Genomic DNA, 21179 nt, shown 5'->3' with positions numbered 1-21179 from the left:
CACCTGTAATCCCAGCACTTTGGGAGGCAGGAGGTTCACTTGAGCCCAGGAGTTCAAGACCAGCCTGGGCAACATAGCAAGACACCAGCTCATAATAAACAAACAAACAAATAAATAAGCTAGAACCTATTCATGTGACTTAAGTGAAACTTTATGCCCCCTAATTAGTAACTCTCCCATCCCCACCCCTGCAAATGATGTTTGATTTTCTCTTTTCACAGTTAACGCTAGAGGAGCATCTCATGTCTAGTTTTGGCATGTATGCAACTGGTTTGATGACAGTTTCAAAGGATGAGTTCCAAAAAAACCAAATCTTTTTGGACTCATCCAGCTTTTTGTCTTTCAAAGTGACTATTTTGGAGGGAAATTTATTAGCTTGAATTCTATGAAATTGCCATGTTTAAAGGAAAAAATTGGTAGAATAATGTTAATTTCATAGGATTCAACCTGATATTAATGGATTGTATAGACCATCATGTTTATGAAAAAGCCAGTCACTATTTAATAGTCAAACTTTGTGTTTTTGACTGTGTATATATAGATACAGACATGCATGTGTAGATCACTTTATTTTCTGTTTATATAACCATGCTTGTATTTGTTGGTATTTGTTGTCATTTTGCACATTTTCGTGAAGTACATGTACGTATTGTTGCACGTACTGCATACATCCTGGTAGCCTAGAAAATGTAATATATTTATGAGCTCTATATTTTAAAAGGAAAAACACTTCTCAAACACACAGACTTTTCTTCCCAAGCTAGACTTGAAACAGGGTTAATACATGGCAGGCTAGGTTAGATAGGTCAACAGGATTGATGGAAGGGCACAAGAGGAAGAAGCCTGGGCTTATCAGTATCAAACTAGACCGTTCGATACTGGATTTCACAGACTGTGGTTGGTTTGGGAACATGCAATCCTAGAGACATGGAGCAGCCTAGAGCTCTGCTCAGTGAGGTGAACACAAATGCCTATGCGGTGATGTGCAGGTGCAGGTCAACCCTTGCACAAGTAGGACTTGCGTTGGCCCCATTATTCTTGGTGCCAGCTGTTGCTCAGATGCCTGATGACACAGGAAGGGAGGGTATTGGTCAGGATATAGGTTTTGCTGCATGTGCCAGAGACCAGCAATGCCAATCCCAATGCCATAAGCAAGACAGAACTTTATTTCCCTCCCACCTATCAAAAATAGATGATTTAAGGCTTGTGTGATAACTCTTTTCTATGAAGTCACTCAGAGGCCCTGGCTCCTTCTGAAGTTTTGTTGCTCAGCTATTCCTACAGCATTATCTTTTTCTTTTTTTTTTTTTTTTTTTTCTGTTTGAGACAGGGTCTCACTCTGTCTTCCAGGCTGGAATGCAGTGGCACAGTTACAGCTCACTGCAGCCACAAATTCCTGGGCTCAAGTGATCCTCCTGCTTCAGCCTCCCAAGTAGCTGGGACTACAGGCATGTGCCACCATGCCTGGCTAATGTTTTTATTTTTTGTTGAGACAGGGTCTTACTATGTTGCCCAGGCTCATCTCCAACTTTTGGCCTCAAGCGATCCTCCTGCTTTGGCCTTGGGTTTACAGTTGCATTGGTGCCCGGCCTCCTAGAACATTATCTTTTGATGATTTTTTGCTGTAGTGGTCTTGCCTATGAGACATAGATGTGCATCGTGTGGAAGCATTTTGGAGAACTGCAGTGTTCTTTCTCATGTGTGACGTGCCTTGGCTTAACTTGGAGGTGTTACAGGGTTATGTCTGAGGGGCCTGGATCACACCAGCTGCTCTGCTCTGGGGGAGTGAGAGGAGATGAGGGGAAAGGCTTCTTCCTCTTCCACTTCCCGCTTCTCCCCTAGATGGGCACACCTCTGGACGCTGCAGCCTCTTATCCTTAGCAGCCCATCTTAGCATTCATTTTATTAATTAGTGCCAAGTTCTTAATAGCTTGATCCGAAGATCACCTGCATCACAGCCTCTTGAGGGTCTTTCTGGGTTGTACCCCACACCTGCTGAATCACAAGATTTGGAGGTAGGCCCTGGATGAGTTTGCTGGGGCTGCCATAGCAAAGCACCACAGACTGGATGGTGGAAATAACAGAAATGTATCATCTCACAGTCCTGGAGGCTGGAAATCCAAGATCAAGGTGTTGGCAGGGTTGGTTTCTTCTGAGACTGCTCTCCTTGACTTGGAGATGGCTGTCTTCTTCCGATGTCTTCACATGGTCTTCCCTTTACTTGTCTATGTTCAAATTCCTTCTTATAATGGCACCATTTATATTGGATCAGGGACCACCCACGTGACCTCATATTATCGTAATTACCTCTTTAAAGGCCCTATTTCCAAAGATGATCATATTCTGAGCTAACTGGATTTAGGATGTTTGGAGGACACAATTCAGCCTTCAGCAGACCCTGACTTTGTGATTTAAACAAGCTTCCCAGGGGATTCTCACTCTCAGTTTGAGAGCAGCAATGTTAGTGGCATAAAATAAAAATGATTAGTTGGCTTTTTTTTACTTGGGACATATCAGAGGGGTTTATTTTGTTTCTGCCATTCCCTCAGAGAGTAAATGACACAGGAAGTCAGGGTGCAGGTGTCCAGGAGCACAGCCCACAGGCCCTTTAGGGAAGGGAGTCTTTACTTTCTTGGTGACGCAGAGCTGAGTGACACAGCCTGTTGGAATTCAGGCCCAGAACATGGAGCCACCGAGTTCTTTGCTTCATCCTGATGGGTTCCCAGGATTTGTTGACATCCTCAGGGCTTTGTCCTTGCTGCTCAAAAGCAAGACTTGCAGCTGACTTTTTCTTAGCAATGCTTGAATATTGGGAAATAAAAAGCAGAACATGTTGGAACTGTGGGATAGAGATTTTTTTTCCCTAAAGATTCTTTCCCATTAGGCAAAGTAATTGATTTTTTTAAAAAAAGATTTCATTTGGAATTAGTCTCTGGAGTGTTTCCATGGACAACGGAAGAACGTACAGATTATGTTCCAGGGAAGATGAAGGTAAACAGACTTTCACCAGGGAGAACGTGGTTCTCAGATTTGCTGCTTCGCGTTCATCTTAAAGTTGGAACGAGTTGATCATGAGTAAAAGCTGATTTTAATCACTTTTGGTGGTGCTTTGTTGTGGATGATTCTAAATCAAAGTTGAAAAATTATACAAACAGTTACCTGATGGGACCATACAACATTCACTAGGTGCGTGTGTTAGGATTGGTGAGTGTCCCCTAATTCATTATCCACAGGCTTCTTTCTCTCTTCTTAAGCTATGCTAACGTGTGTTGCTCCTTTTATGTTAGGAATCTACTTTTCATTAGTGTTGAATTAGTCGTAAAAACTATTTAGAGCAGGGTTTCTCAACAGTGACACTGTTGACATTTTCTGGATAATTATTTGTTGTGAGGGCTGTCTTGGGCATTGTGGATGCTTAACAGCTTCTTTAGGCTCTGTCCTCTAGATGCCAATAGCACCTTCCCCCAAGTTGTGACAACCAGAAAGGTCACCAGACATTGCCAAGTTTGCCCCATCATAAGAACCTCTGACTTAGAGGAAAACGGTTTCCCCCTCCCATTTTTGTTATTTCTTTGTCTCTCTAATCTGTGCTAGCCTAAGGCATGGAAATAGGAGGTACAGATTATTCTGCTTTTTCATACAAGTGTTCCTGAAAAGCCTTGAGATCCTCAAAATCTTTGGGATTTGAGAAAAATAGAGTTGGGGCAGACTACTCTACAGGTATGTATTTAAATTGTACCATGCAACTTTTAAACCCCAAACTAAAAGAAATTAGCTTGGTGTGGTGCCTCACTCCTGTAATCCCAGCACTATAGGAGGCTGAGGCAGGAGGATCACTTGAGGCCAGGAATTTGAGACCAACCTGGGTAACATAGTGAGACCTTGTCTTTACAAAAAAATACACAAATTAGCCAGGTATGGTTGTATATGCCTGTAGTTCCAGCTATTTGGGAGGCTGAGATAGGAGGTTCACTTGAGCCCAGGAGTTCAAGGCTGCAGTGAGCTATGATTGTGCCACTGTACTCCAGCCTGAGCAACAGTGGGACCCCATATCTACAAAAATAATAGTAATAAAAAATAAAAATAACCCTGCAGAACTCCACTAAAATTTTTTAACAATAAGCAATATAAAACTTTATCTTTCATTTTTATTTTTTTGTGACAGGGTCTTGCTCTGTTGCCCAGGCTGGAGTGCAGTGGCATGATCATGGCTCACTGCAGCTTCAACCTCCTGGGCTCAAACAATCCTCCCAGCTCAGCCACCTGAGTCGCTGGAACCGCAGGCATGTCTGGCTGATTTTTTTTATTTTTAGTAGAGACGAGGCCTCGCTATATTGCCCACACTGGTGTTGAACTCCTGGGCTCAGGTAATCCTTCTACCTTGTCCTCCCAAAGTGCTGCGATTACAGGCATAAGCCACTGTGCCTGGCAAACTTTATCTTTCAAAAAAGCATTAGCATAGGGCTTTACCTTTGAAAAAAGAAGCAACTGTAACTTGAATGGGTAGAAGGAATAATTGAGACTCCTAAATTATGGAGACAAGGACCACAAGTATGAAATCATGATGCTCAGCAGCACCGTGCAATAAGGACTTGTAAGCAGAGCCCATGGTCAAACTGTACCAAGAGAAAAAAAATGTGAAATAAGTGGGCAGGGCATATCAATATGCTACATTCATCTGTTTGGAGGGACGTAGAGTTCAACAGCTATTCTGTGGTAATGTGAAATATTATAGGCTAGGAAAAGTTGCCCTTGAACCAGTGTGACCTTTCCATTGATCTGCATCATTCTACACTACTAATCGCATATAAGCAAATTTGCTTGACAGATTCCCATTGTAGCCGAATAGATTGAACTTTCAAGGGTTGTGCAGTTCACAGGAAGTGTGGCACTTGTTTGTGGTAAGGAAAATGGTGAAAATGGACGGACAGCTTATGTTGAAGTTGAGGAAGAGTCATAAAGTTATACCCTGGCTTCCCCTGAAATTGATTTCAGTTAGTTTGGAGTAAATGTTCAGCTCATAATTGCTATTAAAGTGAGCCTCAAGTTTAGATGATAATGGAAGGAGTCTATGGAAGCCATCTTGCCACAAGTCTATAAAATATTCTGTTGCTACTATCTTGTTAGTTTCACAGTGCAATTATGCATGGACCAGGACTCCGGCTTCTCCCAGGCCTTTGTATGTGTGCCATAGATTTCCTCTTTCAGTAGGAACAAGGGCATGGTTGGCTTCTAGAAAAAAAAAAAGTTTATAGATGGGATGTTAGACCAAAAATGTATCATTGTTTTTCTTATCCTTAAAGTACTTAACGCTGGTATTATATATTGTTTTATCCAAGGGCATGGTCTGGAACTAAATACATTTTCTAGATTTTTCTGGTTGCATATCATACGAGACATATTTGAATGGGCTTCAATCGGACGGTAGTGACTTCTGATCCTCACATAGTGCCAGGCAAAGTTCTGGCCTGGAGGACCTCTGCCTCGGGACAGAGGAGTCACAAGACCCTATGTCTGTGAGGAGACCTGTAATGAATCATTCTAAAACCCAAAGGAAGGGTTTGAGAGAACTTGAGGGCATGCAGGAAGGAAACCCGGGCAGGCTGAGAAGCTACAATTTAAGATCTTTGTCCTTCTTTAGGCCCATCCAAGACTTGAGTCCAAGCCTGGCTCCATTCTCTTTACTTCCTGGGTTCCACGTGCTTTAATTTTCAGCCTCTGACAGGGTGCACATGTTAGGTTCAACTGTGGGTTCTTTTGTTTCCCAAGCACTGAATACTCATGCACACCCCTGTTCTGTTTCCTCAGGATGCACGCTATTTTTCTACGAGAGCGACGGCAGGTCTGGGATAGACCACAACAGCATCCCCAAACACGCCGTCTGGGTGGAGAACAGCATTGTGCAGGCGGTGCCTGAGCACCCCAAGAAGGACTTTGTCTTCTGCCTCAGCAATTCCCTGGGTGATGCCTTCCTTTTTCAGGTTTGTTGGGCACTTCCTTTGCAGGGCATTTCAAACCTCTGAACTGGCTACCTTCTTTTCTTGCCTAGGCACCCAGTCTCCCTCCACTGCTTTTTTTTTTTTTTTTTTTTTTTTTAGTGGTGAGATTAATCTGTTGCTCATTATAAAAACAAAAACAGTGAATGACAAAATAAACATCTATATTAAATTCCAGGAGTAGGTACATTCAGAAGTTTTCCAAGTGAAGGCTAAGGAGGGCTATGAGTTGGATGTGAGAAACTTGCTCTGTTTGTCATGAGTTGAAGGATATCTTTGTGTGGTCTCAGTACCATTTCTGTTGCATTTAAGAAAGGGATCGTGAATTTCTTCTTTTAGACATGATTTGAGCTGTCAAAAAGTTTTATTTATAATATGTTCCTTTCTCATATTAATCATAAAGTAAAATAATGACATCTCAGAAATGACTGGCATCACCTAAACAGTTTCTCTTCCTCATCTGATCAGAACTTTCTACTCAGCATCCTTGAATTTCAACATTTTTTAAAAAAAATACTTCTCTGCTAACTGCTTCAGGATTAACATTTTTCTGATAGGGAATCTTTTGAGTTTGGAATAGTTGTAATATACTCTGCAAGAACTTTTTTGTGTTGTTATGTAGGAAGGCTTTCTTTATTGATTCCATTGAAGAATTATTTTCTCAAACCTTTATTCTGTGCTTCCTATGTGCTCTGCATAGTGCTATTGAGAATACTAAGAAGATTTTGACAGTTCCTCTCTTTTTTTGAGATGAAGCCTTGCTTTGTCACCCATGCTGGAAGTGCAGTGGCACGATCTCAGCTCCCTGCAATCTCTGCCTCCCAGGTTCAAGCAATTCTCCTGTCTCAGCCTCTTGAGTAGCTGGGACTATAGGCACCTGCTGCCACGCCTGGCTAATTTTTGTATTTTCAGTAGATACGGGGTTTCACCATATTGGTCAGGCTGGTCTCGAACTCCTGATCTCAGGTCATCCACCCACCTCGGCCTACCAAAGTGCTGGGATTACAGGTGTAAGCCACTGCGCCCAGCTGACAGTTCGTCTTCTTAAAAGTGTTCACATATAACGGAGGGGACAGACATAGCAAATCTTTATAATGTGGTAAAGCCTACCAATGACTATTAAAGGAAGAGCAGGTATAAATGGCGTGACAAGGACCGTAAGAATATAACATGCAAGGAGGGGGCTAGAACAAAGGTATAGAGGAAAGAAATCATTTATTTCACCAAGTTTCTGGCTTTGGCTTCAGAAGCTGTTTCTATTTGGACAATTAAAGTAAGAAATATAAAGTGCTAATTTTGATTATATAAAGACAAAGCATCTGTGTTTTCTTTTTTAAAAATCTGTGATGTAAAACACAGAAAGAAGAGTGCACACAACATAAGTGTACTGCTCAGTGAGCTATCATAAAGTAATTATGCAACCACCAACCAGGACAAGAAATAGAAGTTTCAGGCACCTAAGCCACCTTCCCCAACCCCACCCCACTCACAAATGCAGCCTACTAGTTGAATTGAGTATGTCTTTTATCATCCAAGCCAGGACACTTTTATTTATCTGGGAATGACTTAATTTCCCTTTCATTTTTGAAGGATAGTTTTGCTGGATATAGAATTCTTAATTGACCATCTTATTTCAGTGCTTTGAAAATCCCACTGCTTTCTGGCCTTCATGGTGTTTGATGAAAAATCAGCTGTTTATCCTATGAGGCTCCCTTGCTGATTTGAAGATCGTGACTTTGTCGTTAAACAGTTTGAGTATTATGTGTCTAGGTATCATTCTCTTTGAGTTTACTTTACCTGGAATTTATTGTCTTTCAGATATGTATCTTTTAATATTTTTAAATTTTAAAAATTGTTGTGGGTACTAGTAGCCACAAAATACAATGTGTATATATTTATGGGGTAGTGTCTTTTGGATCTGTAGATTTGTGTGCATGTGTTTGTGTATTTAAATCACATTTGGAAAGTTTTTAGCTATTATTTCTTCAAATAGTCTTCCTGCTCATTTATCTTGCTCCACTCCTTTGGTGACTCCTGTTGTGTTTACATTAGTATGCTTGATGAAGTCCCATAAGCCTCTGAGACTCTGTTCATTTTTTTTTCATTCTATTCCTTAATCTCACTTGATCTGTCATAAGTTCACTGATTCTTTTTTCTTCCAACTCAAATCTGCTGTTGAGCTCTTCTGGTTATTTTTATTTTTTTATATTTATATATATATAAAATATACATATATATGAAATATACATATATATATATATATTTTTTTTTTTTTTTTTTGAGATGAAGTTTTGCTTTTGTTGCCCAGGCTGGAGTGCAATGGCACAATCTCAGCTCACCACAACCTCTGCCTCCCACGTTCAAGCAATTCTCCTGCCTCAGCCTCCCAAGCAGCTGGGATTACAGGCATGTGCCACCAAGCCCAGCTAATTTTGTATTTTTTTTTCTAGTAGAGGTGGGGTTTCTCCATGTTAGTCAGGCTGGTCTCAAACTCCTGACCTCAGGTAATCCACCTGCCTTGGCCTTCCAAAGTGCTGGGATTACAGGCCTGAGCCACTGCACCTGGTCATTTTTTCTTTTCTTTTCTTTTTTCTTTTTTTTTTTTTTTTTTTGAGACAGAGTCTTGTTCTGTCCCCCAGGCTGCAGTGCAGTGGTGCACTGATTTTGGATCTGACTTTTCTGAGACAGGTTCTATTGACTACTAGAATGTCAATAGAAGCAGTCCTCCTGTTTTGGTCTCCCAACCCACTTTATTGTTGTTTATTGTTTATTTGCATGTCTCATAAATTGCCAGGTCTCTGCTCAGCTAGTTTAGTAGTCAGGTAATTATTAGAAAGAGATTTCCTTAAATGTACAGAAGCAATAAGTTTCCTAGTCTTTCCTAAGAACAGAAGTTTGCAAGTTCAAGCCTATCATCAACGCTCAGGCAACTAGCTTCCATCTCTGCCTTAGCCTTCATCTCTGCTTTCACTGAGCTGTAGGGTCAGTAGTGCACTGATCACAGCTCACTGCAGCCTCAGCCTCCTGGGCTGAGCAATCCTCCCAGCTCAGCCTCCTGAATAGCTGGGGCTACAGGTGTGCACCACCACAGCCAGCTAATTTTTTCTATTTTTTTGTAGAGATGGAGGTCTTGCTTTATTGCCCAGGGTGGTCTCAAACCCCTGGCCTCAAGTGATCTTCCTGCCTCAGCCTCCTAAAGTGCTGGGATTACAGGCATGAGCCACTGTGCCTGGCCTGGTTCTTTCAAACAAAAGTTATATTTCCTTATTGATATTCTCTATTTAATGTGATATTAGCCTCATACTTTATTTCTTTAGACATGGTTTATTTTAGTTCTTTGAATACGTTCAAAATAGTTGCTTGAAATCTTTGTCTAGTACACTCAACATGGGACTTTTCTGAGACAGTTTCTATTGACTACTTCTTTTTCTATATATGGGCCATACTTTATTTAATTGTTTTAGAGATAGGGTCTTGCTCTATTACCCAGGCTGGAGTACAGTGGTGCAATCATAGCTCACTGTAACCTTGAACTCCTGGACTCAAGCAATCTTCCCACCTTAGCCTCTCAAGTAGCTGGGACTACAGGTGTACACCACCACACCTGGCTGATTTTTTAAAAATATTTTTTAAAGACAGAATCTTGCTATGTTGCCCAGGCTGGTCTCAAACTCTTGGCTTCAAGCAGTCTTCCCATTTTGGTCTCCCAACCCACTGGGATGATAGGCATGAATCACCATTCCTGGCCCATACTTTATTGTTGTTTGTTGTTTATTTGCATGTCTCATACTTTTTTGGTTTAAATTGTACATTTAAAATAATATAAATGTGGCAACTCTGAAAGCAGATCCACCTCCCATCCTCCAGGATTTGCTATTGTTGTTGATTATCGGTGGTGATAGTGCTTCTTTGTTTAGTGACTTTCTTAAAATCTGTGAAATATTTAGGCTTTGTTATGTGTGCCCACTGAAGTCTCTGCTCAGCTAGTTTAGTAGTCAGCTAATTATTAGAGAGAGATTTCCTTAAAAGTACAGAAGCAATAAGTTTCCTAGTCTTTCCTAAGAACAGAAGTTTGCAAGTTCAAGCACATGATCAACACTCAGGCAACTAGCTTCATCTCTGCCTTAGCCTTCATCTCTGCTTTCACCGAGCTGTAGGGTCAGTCATAGGGTGAGCTTAGGAACTTCTTGGGACTATCTGGGCTTGTGGACAGCCTTATACATATTTGTGACTGTATTAGTCAATTCACTAAGACTGTGTTGTGACTCTCTTAGCCGCTAATAAAGACATACCCGAGACTGGGTAATTTATAAGGAAAAGAGGTTTAATGGACTCACAGTTCCACATGGCTGGGGAGGCCTCACCGTCATGGCAGAAGGCAAAGGAGGAGCAAAGTCTTCTTACATGGCAGCAGACAAGAGAGAGCATGTGCAGGGGAACTCCCCTTTATAAAACCATCAGATTTCATGAGACTTACTATCACGAGAACAGCATGGAAAGACCTGCACCCATGATTTGATTACCTACCACTGGGTCCCTTCCACGACATGTGGGAATTATGGGCACTACAATTGAAGATGAGATTAGGTGGGGACACAGCCAAACCGTATCAGTGACCTTCCAGATTCCAAGGACTGTGTCATAGCTTTTCAGAGCCTTTTGTGGAAATCGTATTCCCCAACTTTTCCTCAAGTTTCTTGGTCAACTTCTTATTTGTTCGACTGTTATCACTGCTTCAGGCGACTGTAGTGCTAAACAATTGTCATTAATTGTTTTTCACAAGCACCCCCTGGAGTGAAGAGTGTTTGCATGAATGAGGTCTGAGTCAGGTCAAATAGCAACAAGCTCGTGAAGAGGTTTTTCTGGGACCTGCTAGACAGGTCGCTTAGTGATGGTTCTCTGAGAAAGGTGTTTTGGGGAAGATGTAGAGATCTACCTTGGAATGCCATGTTTAGTTCCATGTGTCAGACTTGAGGAAGGTTGTTCCCTCCTGTGGTGCTACACAGCTGGTTTTCATGTGATTGTATAGATGAGGAGAAAAAGATGGAAATAGAGCAATTTAAAATATCACAAAACTTGCTGTTTTTACTGAAGTTCAGCCATTTGTCTTTAATAAATGCAGCTTAGATTGTTGCAGAACTTAGATTAATTTCTGGAATTGTGAAAAAGTTGATTTTGACCATTTTTTACCACTGTTCGTGTTGCTTTTGTGAAGGAATGGCTCTTTGGAAGTTCTTAACCCTCCTACCCCACCCCAACCCCCATTGATGTTGATGGCATTCACCAGGACACTTTCGAGAGTAGACGCTATTAACAGTTATGCCAGTATACCAGGTATAAGCGAGGACAGTCCCAGGCCAACTGGGACATATAGCAACCATTCCATAGGTACATTTGAGTTGTTCCCAGGTGTTAAGGATCACAAGCAATGTTGTTGTGAGCACTCTTGTACCTGTTCTCAGGTTATGTTTGTCCACATTTCTGTTGGACAAACATATATACCTAGGAGTGGCATTGCAGGGTCATGGGTTAGGCACATATTCAGGATATGCCAAACAGTTTTCAAAATGATTAATGTAATTTATACTCTCATTAGCAGCCTAGGAGAATTCTAGTTATTCCTCATCTTTGCAAACTTGATACTGAGATTTTTTAAAATCCTTTTTAAGATATTAATATGAAATTGAGCACATATTCATGCGCTTAATGACCATTTCAATATCATCTTTTGTGAAGTGCTTATTTTACTCTCTTGTCCATTTTTTTTCCATCAGAGTTTCTTTGTTAATGATTTATGGCAGCTCTTTGTGTATTTTGTATATCATCGCTGTTGATTATATTCATTGCAAGTATCTTTTTCTACTCTGTGGCTTGCTTTTTACTCTCTTAATGGTGTCATTTGTTGCAGTGAAACTTAATTGTAGCCCATTCTCACTTCTTAAGCCTTCCTTAATGGGTAATGCTTTGAGTGTCTTATTTTTTAAATCTACATGCTATAATGTCATGAAAATTTTCTTGTATATATGTTATAAATAATTGTTTTGGCTGGGCATGGTGGCTCATGCCTGTAATCTCAGCACTTTGGGGGGCCAAGGCAGGCAGATCACTGAGCCCAGGAGGTTGTGACCAGCCTAGACAACATGGAAAGACCCTGTCTCTACCAAAAAATAAAAATAAAAAAAATTAGCTGGACACGATGGCATGTACCTGTAGTCCCAGCTAGTTGAGAGGCTGAGGTGGGAGGATCACTTGCACCAAGGAGGTCAAGGCTGCAGTGAGCCGTGGTTGCACCATTGCATTCCAGCCTGGGTGGCAGAGCGAGACCCTATCTTAAAAAAAAAAAAAATTGTTTTTCTGCATCTGACATGGTTTTTATTTGTTAATTGGAAATCTTGCAAATGAGGAAATGTCTAACTACCTGACAGCAACAGTAACATTATTGTGAGATCGGTGGCTATGTTTTACTTAGCCCTTATTGTATACCACCATCTTAATGTGAGTCACATGTAATTCTTAGAGCAGTAGTTAGTTGGATTATGTATCCACATTTTAATCCATTGATGTGTGTTGTATACCCCATTTGTTGAAGTCGAGGCTTACAAAAGCTAGTAATTGGACCCAAACTCAACTCAAATCAAGCCTATGTTTCTCCAAAGCCTTTTATTGTCTGAGTATACTATTTGTCCTATTACTGTTGACCCTAAGAAGAACGTGGGCAAGAGTCAGTGGCTACAGTAAAAAGTGACTAGCTTTTTCTCATTCCTACAATTAAGCTACTCATTGGAAATATTTCTAAAGTGAAACCTGATTTTGGTTATTCTTGCCTCACTACACAGGTTAGATGATTCTCAGATGGATTTCAGAAAGGTTCCCTTAAAAATTTTTTTTAACCCTCAAGTGGAATCAGAAGGTTTTCTTTTTAACTTACACATTTCTGATGTGAATTCCTTTTGAAAGGAACTTCATGGCCATAAAATTGCTAGTAGAATGTAAATACCCAATAGATCACATGAGGTAAACTTTTTTATATGTGACAACGTAGGATCTTAGTTTTGAAAACCTTTGTGTCTTCTTGCTATGGTGAAAGCTTTATGCCATTTATGAGGGATAGAGCACAAAAGGAAGCTTTTGGAGGAAATTACTGCTGTTTGGATACCATGAAGGCATTCTCTGCCTTCTGCTTATTATAAATCCATGTAACTCTGGAGCAGCCGAATCAGAATGAAACCTGTTTGTGTAGGGGTGAGGCTAAAGCACAGGCAATCAGCCATGATTATGGAAGTAATGTGTAGGTTATTCCAGCCCCAGGGCTCAATTCAGTGCACACAGTTTCCAGAGCCTGTGTGCTGCTGATTTGACACTGTTACTCAAATACCCACAGATTCACCCATGGAAAGGAGATTCATGTTACCAACAAAAGTAGAAAAGGAATTTATATGTGTGAGGCCAGGGGAGAGTGGGAATGAGCAGGAATGTTGGAGTCATGTATATGGAAGAAGTGCTATGCTGTCTGCACTATTTTAATTTAAGTTCTTTCCTTCAACTTGAAGCCAGAGACAGTACCTACCACCTACAAAGTACAATTTCCTATTGGGCCTTCATTCATTCATTACCTTAGGATGTCACATACAATTCCAAAAAGCTCACCCACCTTTATGGTAACATATCCTAATATTAGTTATTAATTTGTCTGTTAAATGCCTTGGGAACACAGCTACCAGGCAAATAAGAAAGACAATAGAGTAGAAAATCATATGCAGTTATATATCTAAAGGGGTATAGAAAATGTTATCTCTAGGAATTGATTGCCTTTTCTTCCCATAGAAAGTTTTCTCATCATTTAGAAAGTCACTTGTGCAAGGGTATTGTATGCATATTAAAAGACTCATATGCCATTAAGTTGAGTTGAAGATTAAGTGTGATAATGATGGTAAGTGTCTGATAGATAGCAAATGCTTAACAGTTACCATTTTAGTAATAAAGAAAAAAAGACTAGTTCCATGGGCTCCTCTTAAATAAGCATCTTTACAAAAATTAAGTGTGGCTTCACTGTGAAAAGGCTAAGGTCTTGAGTTTCGTCAGGCTCAAGAGAACTACCTTGGAAGCCATGTCTAGCTGTGTGTGTCAGACTTGAGGAAGGTCATGGCCACATGCCCTGGACAAGGGCAGCCAGGTTAGGGAAAAACCTGTAAATCATCTTTCATAAGGAGGTGTCAAGTGGACTTGTGGTAGAAGAGACTTTAATGGGGATTTGGCATCTTGACCCAGTGCCCCTCTCAAAGGAGGTATGGTCCCTGCAAGACCCTGGCCAACAGGTGAGCCTGCCCACTGGGCAGCCTCTCCCATTCCTGGAGATCTCCCAGCTTTCAACCATCGGTTTTGTTAGTCAGCCCTAAGTCCTAGAAAGTTCTTCATCATGTTGAGATAATATGTTCTTTCTGGTGAGTCTTGCCATTTCTCTTTGTTTCTATATTCACCCACAGAGTCCTGTGCAAGTCTTCTGCTTATCCTTACTCATCACCTTTTAAATACTTAAAAACGGCTTTCATTTACCTCCTGCCACGTCTCTTTGGGCAACCCTGCCTAAGGTTCCCAAGCCATTCTCCCTGTTCTTACTTGTAAGCGTGCCCAGGCGCTCAGCATCCTGTGTGAGCCTCTGTGTGGTCTGCCCCATGCAGGCTGCAGTGAGGTTCCCGTTGTCCTTGTTTCCTCTAGAGTCAATTCCTTTTATTAAAAGCCACATCAAACTGTTGACTCAGACTGAGCTCGTGGTATCTTAAACCCTCAACATCAATTCTTACCCAACAAGGCCTTCCCCATCTTATTTTAATAGATTTTTTTTTCAAAAACCCAACTCAGAACTTAAATGTACCTCTTTGATATGTTATCCTTGTGGCTTTTATCCTTCTAATAAACTGTTGAAATCCTCTGGGATCCTTATTTGATCTTCCCTGGTGTTTATATTCCTCTTAACTTCACATTATCCACTGATATGACAAGCTGAGTGCGAGGTCTTCATTCTCTTTGTTGGTTTCCGTGTTGACTTAGTCTGTAGCTAAGTCCTGTTTTCCCCACACCGTAGATTATATCCCTGCCCCTAGCCAGCCACTGTAGAAATATTTACCTTTGATTTTGGCATGGATTAGTTGTGAAGGGCCAACTCTAGGATATGTGGAGCCCCAGGCAAATATTTTTTTATGGAGGCTTTATCTATATAAAGAATTTGGCTCACTCCGGATCAACTGTCAGCACCATTCTGGTGGCCCAATCTCAAGCAATCTGGTGAAAGAAATACCACACGGTCTGGTGGGTGCGACTCACTAGCCACAGACTCAAGTTCAAGAGCTTCGGGCATCTTTTTGACACTGAATAGCTGGTACAGGGTGAGAGAGCTCCCTGAAGGGGAGAAACCTCCTGAAACCTCCCCTTTCCAGGAGACAGAGGGAGACTTGGAAAATTTCAAGAAAAGCCCTCCAAACTATGGGACCTCCTGAGGTGCAGAGCCCTGGCAGGGGCCCCACTTGCCTACCTCTTAGGAGACTATTAATGGAGAATGTGGATGTTGAAGTGCAAAATGAATATACAAGGCTGGAAATCAGCTAGATTTTATGCCTTCTTGTGGGTGCCTCAGAGGTTTCCCCACACTGCAGAGGTATAATTGTGGTTGAGCTAGATCTTCCTATACAATTTCTATACTGTTATGTATCATGCAAATTATGTTACTAACTGTATTCTTCCTTTTCTTACATTAGTTTAAATTTGTATTAAATCAATATCAGCATAGTTTAAAAGAATTCAGCTAACATTAAAAGGCTTAAAGTGAAATTATTTTCCTCCTTTTGCCCTCTTCGCCTCATGAGGCTTATTCCCTAGAAGCAACGATACAAAACTACTTTAGCTGATGTTTTTGTTTTCTTGTATTTGCCCTCATTAACATGTTTATACTGCTGTTTCTAATGGATTTTAGATACTACTGACTTTCTATTATGATAGATGAACATTTAGCTGTGTTAGCTATAAATTCTTCTTTCCTCATCTTCCCATATAGGTATATGAACATTTAGGATTAAAGCACTAATCAGTGTTATTACATTGTTATGACCATATAAATAGTATTGGCTGCTGAGTCAAGTAGTGTACTGTGATCTTATTTCTTTTCTGTAATAATTTCTTAATTTTTTTTTCTGTAGTTAATGACTGCCCCCTTTTTTTGGGAGGAAGGCTCATATTGCTTATTTTCCTGGTTATGTGGCAGTGATATTTTCTAAATCTCCAGCATGTTAGCTTGTTCATCATTGATGTTTTCCTTTGAAGCCTGCCCTCCCCTGGCACATTGTCCTGCTCCCATATGGCTGCTCTCCGGGCCTCATGTACAACAGCCTCTGTAGAATTACCAGCTGCTTCGTTTTCATGAAAATAACCTGGAGTAACTTCTTATAAAATGATGCACATTTAAAAATGTCTTCATTCTACCTTTTACTTGCATAATATTTGAGTAATTTGGAATTTTGGCTTGGAGATCATTTCCCCTTGGTTTAATTATTTTCTGATTATGTTCCCATTTCTGATTAGCATGTTTGTGTTTTATTTTCTTTTTTTCTCTTTAGCATCATTTCCTTATCACTGGTGTTCTGATCCTTTTTTAGTATATATGCTGCCAAAGCAAGCACAATTTCTTCTCTTTTTTTTTGGAGACAGGGTCTCACTCTGTCGCCCAGGCTGGAGTGCAGTGGTATAATCATGGCTGATTGCAGCCTCAGCCTCCCAAGGCTCAGGTGGTTCTCCCACCTCAGCCTCTCGAATATCTGGGATGACAGGTGCACACCACCATGCTTTGCTAATTTTTGTGGTTTTTGTAGAGACGGGGTTTTGCCATGTTGCCTAGGCTGGTCTTGAACTCCTGGGGTCAAGTGATCCACCTGCCTCAGCCTCCCGAAGTGCTGAGATTACAGGTTTAAGCCACTGCACCTTGCTGGTGTTCTGATCCTTCATAGTGATTTCCTTCTATTGACATTTTAATTTTGGTTATTTTTTTTTAATTCCTAAAAGAAGCTTTCTCTCCCACCTTCCCTTCATCCCTCCCTCCCTCCCTTCCTTCCTTCCTTCCTTCCCCACCTCCTCTCTCCCTTCCTCCTTCCCTCCCTCCCTTCCCCTCTCCTGCTCTCTTTTCAGTCTCATTGTTCCTTTTTATTGTAACCTGTACTTTTTGTTCACTTGTTTATAGTTTTAGATTCCCTTGCATCTCCAAGGGTTGTGTAGATTTTAGGGAAGCTTTCTCTGTTTCAGGCATGGCTTCTCCTTTCTCCTAGTACATTTTCTCCTGTGTGCTTTAGTCTCTGCCTTTCATGCTGGGGGCTTTCAGCAAATGTCTGGTGATCCTTGACTGGTCATATTTACATGTGAGATATGAAAAAGCTGCTTATATCATCTGTGCACATTAGAAGTACTGGGACCTTTCATAGCATGGACAGACAGTAAGCGGCCTTGTGGAGAGACTCCGGTTGACGATTATTTGTGAGTCTTTTCTTGGAGGCGACTGAGCTTTGCCAGAGATGAATCCTGCCACTGCCCTTCCTCAGGCAGGCTGCCATCTGTTCGCCTCTTTGCAGCGCACGGTCCCTGTTTTCCTTGTGTCTGTCTTCCTGGAGTCCAGAGCTTCCTTTCTTCTCCAAAGAATGAACCCGGCGTGGGTGAGGGTGAGAGGGATCCATTATATCACCATTTTCAGTGGGGGAGGGAAACCTCAAATTTAAAGTTGTCTTTTTTTGAGACGGAGTCTCGCTCTTGTTGCCCAGGCTGGAGTGCAGTGGCGCCATCTTGGCTCACTGCATCCTCTGCCTCCCAGGTTCGAGCAATTCTCCTGCCTCAGCCTCCCAAGTAGCTTAGTTTACAGGCATGCACCACCACACCTGGCTAATTTTTGTATTTTTAGTAGAGATGGACTTTCACCATGTTGGTCAGGATGATCTTGAACTCCTGATCTCAAGTGATCTCACCTCAGCCTCCCAAAGTGCTGGGATTACAGGCGTGAGCCACCATGCCTGGCCTTAAGTTCTCTTTACAGATATTAAAAATAATAGCTTAAATAAGTCTTATGTAAACAAAATATGATGAGTATAGAATCAACAAGAAAAAAGCCTTTTCAGAATTCACACTGGAGCTTTATTCCTATCTAGCCTCTTAAAAAATGGTAACTTTCTTTTTTTTTCTTTTAAAATGAAAGCGTTTGACCTACTTTACAATTATTCTTGTGCTTCTATAAACTTGAATTATCTCAAATTTTAGTTTCCTAGATTTGGCATATATTCCCTAGTATTTCTCGTGTTTAAAATGAATTTCCCTTTTCCTGCCACTTACGTAAACCATTGATTATCTGAAATCACCAAGTGTCCTCCATGCCATTGGATAGTTGAAGCTGGATCTATTTAAATACATAATGAAGTCCTGAGCTTCATCTTATCTCTGCACTCAAAGGGGCTGTTATGCAAAATGCATTTTTTTGCTGATTATATTTGTCTGTTGGCAAGAACTTTGCTTATTCCCTTCACCGAACTGTATACAGTATTTATAGCATCTCCAGAAGGCAAAGGAAGAATCACAGAATTCCCTCTCTCTTTACCTGTCTGCTGCTGTTTGTTTAATGGAAGGTGATTTGTGGTTAACAAGTTGAGAGGGCACCATTGGGTGGTCTCTCCTTCCTGCCTTCTTGGCCTCTGAATTCTGACGAAGGGACCCATCATGAATCTGATGTCCCTAACTAACCTTGCCCGGTTCAAGAAGGGGAGGCAAGGTTAGTGGCTTCGGATGGCTTTTTCTAGCATGTCAGAATTTAAATCCTGGAGAGACCTTGAGGAACAACATTGTGTCAGGTCAGGAGTCCACTGTGAGCAGTTGAGGTGTTAAGCCAGTAAATGGTCATGAAATGTTGCAAGACTTTTTCTCCACCCAACTAGCTTTTGAAAGCAGTCAGTGGAGAGTTCGTCTCCTCTTGTGGACACATAGCTCCCTGTGTGCCACTGCAAAGGGACAAACTGCAGAAAAGCTCATTTATTGAATTGTCCTTCTGAGAAATTGATTTGGCTTCATGATAGAGAATGGTAGGGACTGTTGCTTTATTTAGACAAGACAGTGGGAGCAAAAGTTCTCTCTAATGGAACTGCCTTCAGCCATTGACAGGTTTTTAAAAAGTTTGGGGGGCTGAGGCATACTTAATAGTTAAAAGGGCTGATGGCTAAATGTTTCATGCAGCTGTCATCACACATTTCTATATATGCTTCTCTAGGTTTTGGGGATTGTTATGCTTTTTTTATTTTATAATTATTTTTTCTTTTAAATTGAGGTACACCACACATAAAATTTACCATCTAGGCATTTTTAAGTGGACAGTTGAGTGACGTTAAGTACATTTACCCTGTTGTGCAACTATCACCATTATTCATCGCCAGAACTTTTTTTTTTTGTGAGATGGAGTTTCTCTCTGTTGCCCAGGGTAGAGTACTGTGGCATAATCTCAGCTCACTACAACCTCCGCCTCCCGGGTTCAAGCGATTTTGTGCCTCAGCCTCCCGAGTAGCTAGGACTACAGGCATGTGCCACCATGCCCAGCTAATTTTTGTATTGTTAGTAGAGACGGGGTTTCACCATGCTCAGGCTGGTCTCGAACTCCTGGCCTGAAGTGATTCGCCCACCTTGGCCTCCCAAAGTGCTGGGACTACAGGCATGAACCATTCCGCCTGGCCCATAACTCTTTTTCATCATGCAAAGCTTAAATGCGGTCCCCATTACATAACAACATTCCATATCCCCTTCACTCCGGCCCCTAGCAACCACTGTCTTTCTTTATAAGTTCCAGGATAGCTGCTTTGCCGAAATTAAATATATACCATTCAAAGGGTGTTTAACTTTGGTCAGCTTCCTTCGTTTTTCCTTCTTACGTGGAAGACAAACGTGAACTCTCTGACATCAGAATGGATTGTGTTGCTATTGGCTGAATTGGGCTGGGGTCCTCACAGGGGAAAGAAGACCCACTTTCATTAAATAAGGAGAGCAAAAGGCTGCAGTTCCACAGAACATATCAGATTATGGTCTTTCTTGGGGTTCCAAGTGCACTACACAGACTCCGTTATGTTTGAGGCATCCCCTGTTTTGCAGTGGAATTCTTACTTTGCTGGTAGATCAGTCAGGATGGATAGAATTAGGCTGAAGAAAGGAGCACTTAAATCTCAGCGGCTTAACATGCTTTCTCCTTCCTGGCATGATCGAGGCTGGCTCCAGAGCCGTACTCATCCTAGACTCTTATGGATCCAGGCAGACAGAAGCTCTATCTTGACACAGTGCTTCTGTGACCGTGGCAACGGGGCAAGAATGGGGCGAATCAGGCTTTTGTTGAGCAGTGATGTCACTTCTACTCACATTTTACTGGCCAAAGCCAAGTGCCATGGCCATGCCTGGCTTCAGAGGGGGCCAGAAAGTTCTATTCTCCCATATTCCTAGAATGAGAAGAGCTCAAAATATTGAATGGTCATGCCTGTAATCCCAGCACTTTGGGAGGCCGAGGCAGGGTGATCATCTGAGGTCGGGAGTTTAGGACCACCCTGGCCAACACGGTGAAACCCCTCTCTACTAAAAATACAAAAATTACCTGGGCTTGGTGGTGTACGCCTGTAATCCCAGCACTTTGGGAGGCTGAGGCTGGCGGATCACTTGAGGTCAGGAGTTCAAGACCAGACTGGCCAACATGGTGAAACCCTGTCTCTACTAAAAATACAAAAAACTAGCTGGGTGTGTGGCTCCCTAGTAGCCTGTAGTCCCAGCTAGGGACTAGGGAGGCTGAGGCAGGAGAACCACTTGAACCCAGGAGGCGGAGGTGGCAGTGAGCTGAGATCATGCCCAGGCACTCCAGCCTGGGCAACAGAGTGAGATTCTGTCTAAAAAATAATAATTATCGAATGGGTAATGCTTGTGACTCTGCAGCCTGGCTTTCAGAGCAATTAACAAGAGCTGGGGGTCAGGATCAGTATGTCATATTAAACAAGGAAAAAACAGAACCAAAACTTTTTTTTTTTTTAAGAACAGGGTTGGTGGAGATTGGGATTTATAATAAATGACTGTGTTCTTCCTAATTTTTCTGGGCTTTTTTCCTCCATCTGTGAAAAATGGTCATCTGAGTCCCTTCTGGATAAA

General features: G+C 41.5%; 1 protein-coding gene across 12 annotated transcripts in view; it reads left to right on the top strand.

The window, feature by feature from the left end:
- The window catches only part of TIAM1 (TIAM Rac1 associated GEF 1), a 440670-nt gene that overhangs the window by 307619 nt on the left and 111872 nt on the right, over nucleotides 1–21179 (top strand). For all 12 annotated transcript variants that reach the window (NM_001353690.1, NM_003253.3, NM_001353688.1 and 9 more), the window contains one exon: nucleotides 5809–5981. In NM_001353690.1, coding sequence (NP_001340619.1) covers nucleotides 5809–5981 — 173 coding nt within the window. The remainder of the gene's footprint in view (nucleotides 1–5808; nucleotides 5982–21179) is intronic.

The sequence above is a fragment of the Homo sapiens genome, chromosome 21, assembly GCF_000001405.40.
Source record: "Homo sapiens chromosome 21, GRCh38.p14 Primary Assembly".
In the NCBI taxonomy this organism is placed as follows: domain Eukaryota; kingdom Metazoa; phylum Chordata; class Mammalia; order Primates; family Hominidae; genus Homo; species Homo sapiens.
The sequence above is the reverse complement of the archived record's forward strand: the minus strand, read 5'-3'. Positions and strand labels throughout refer to the sequence as shown.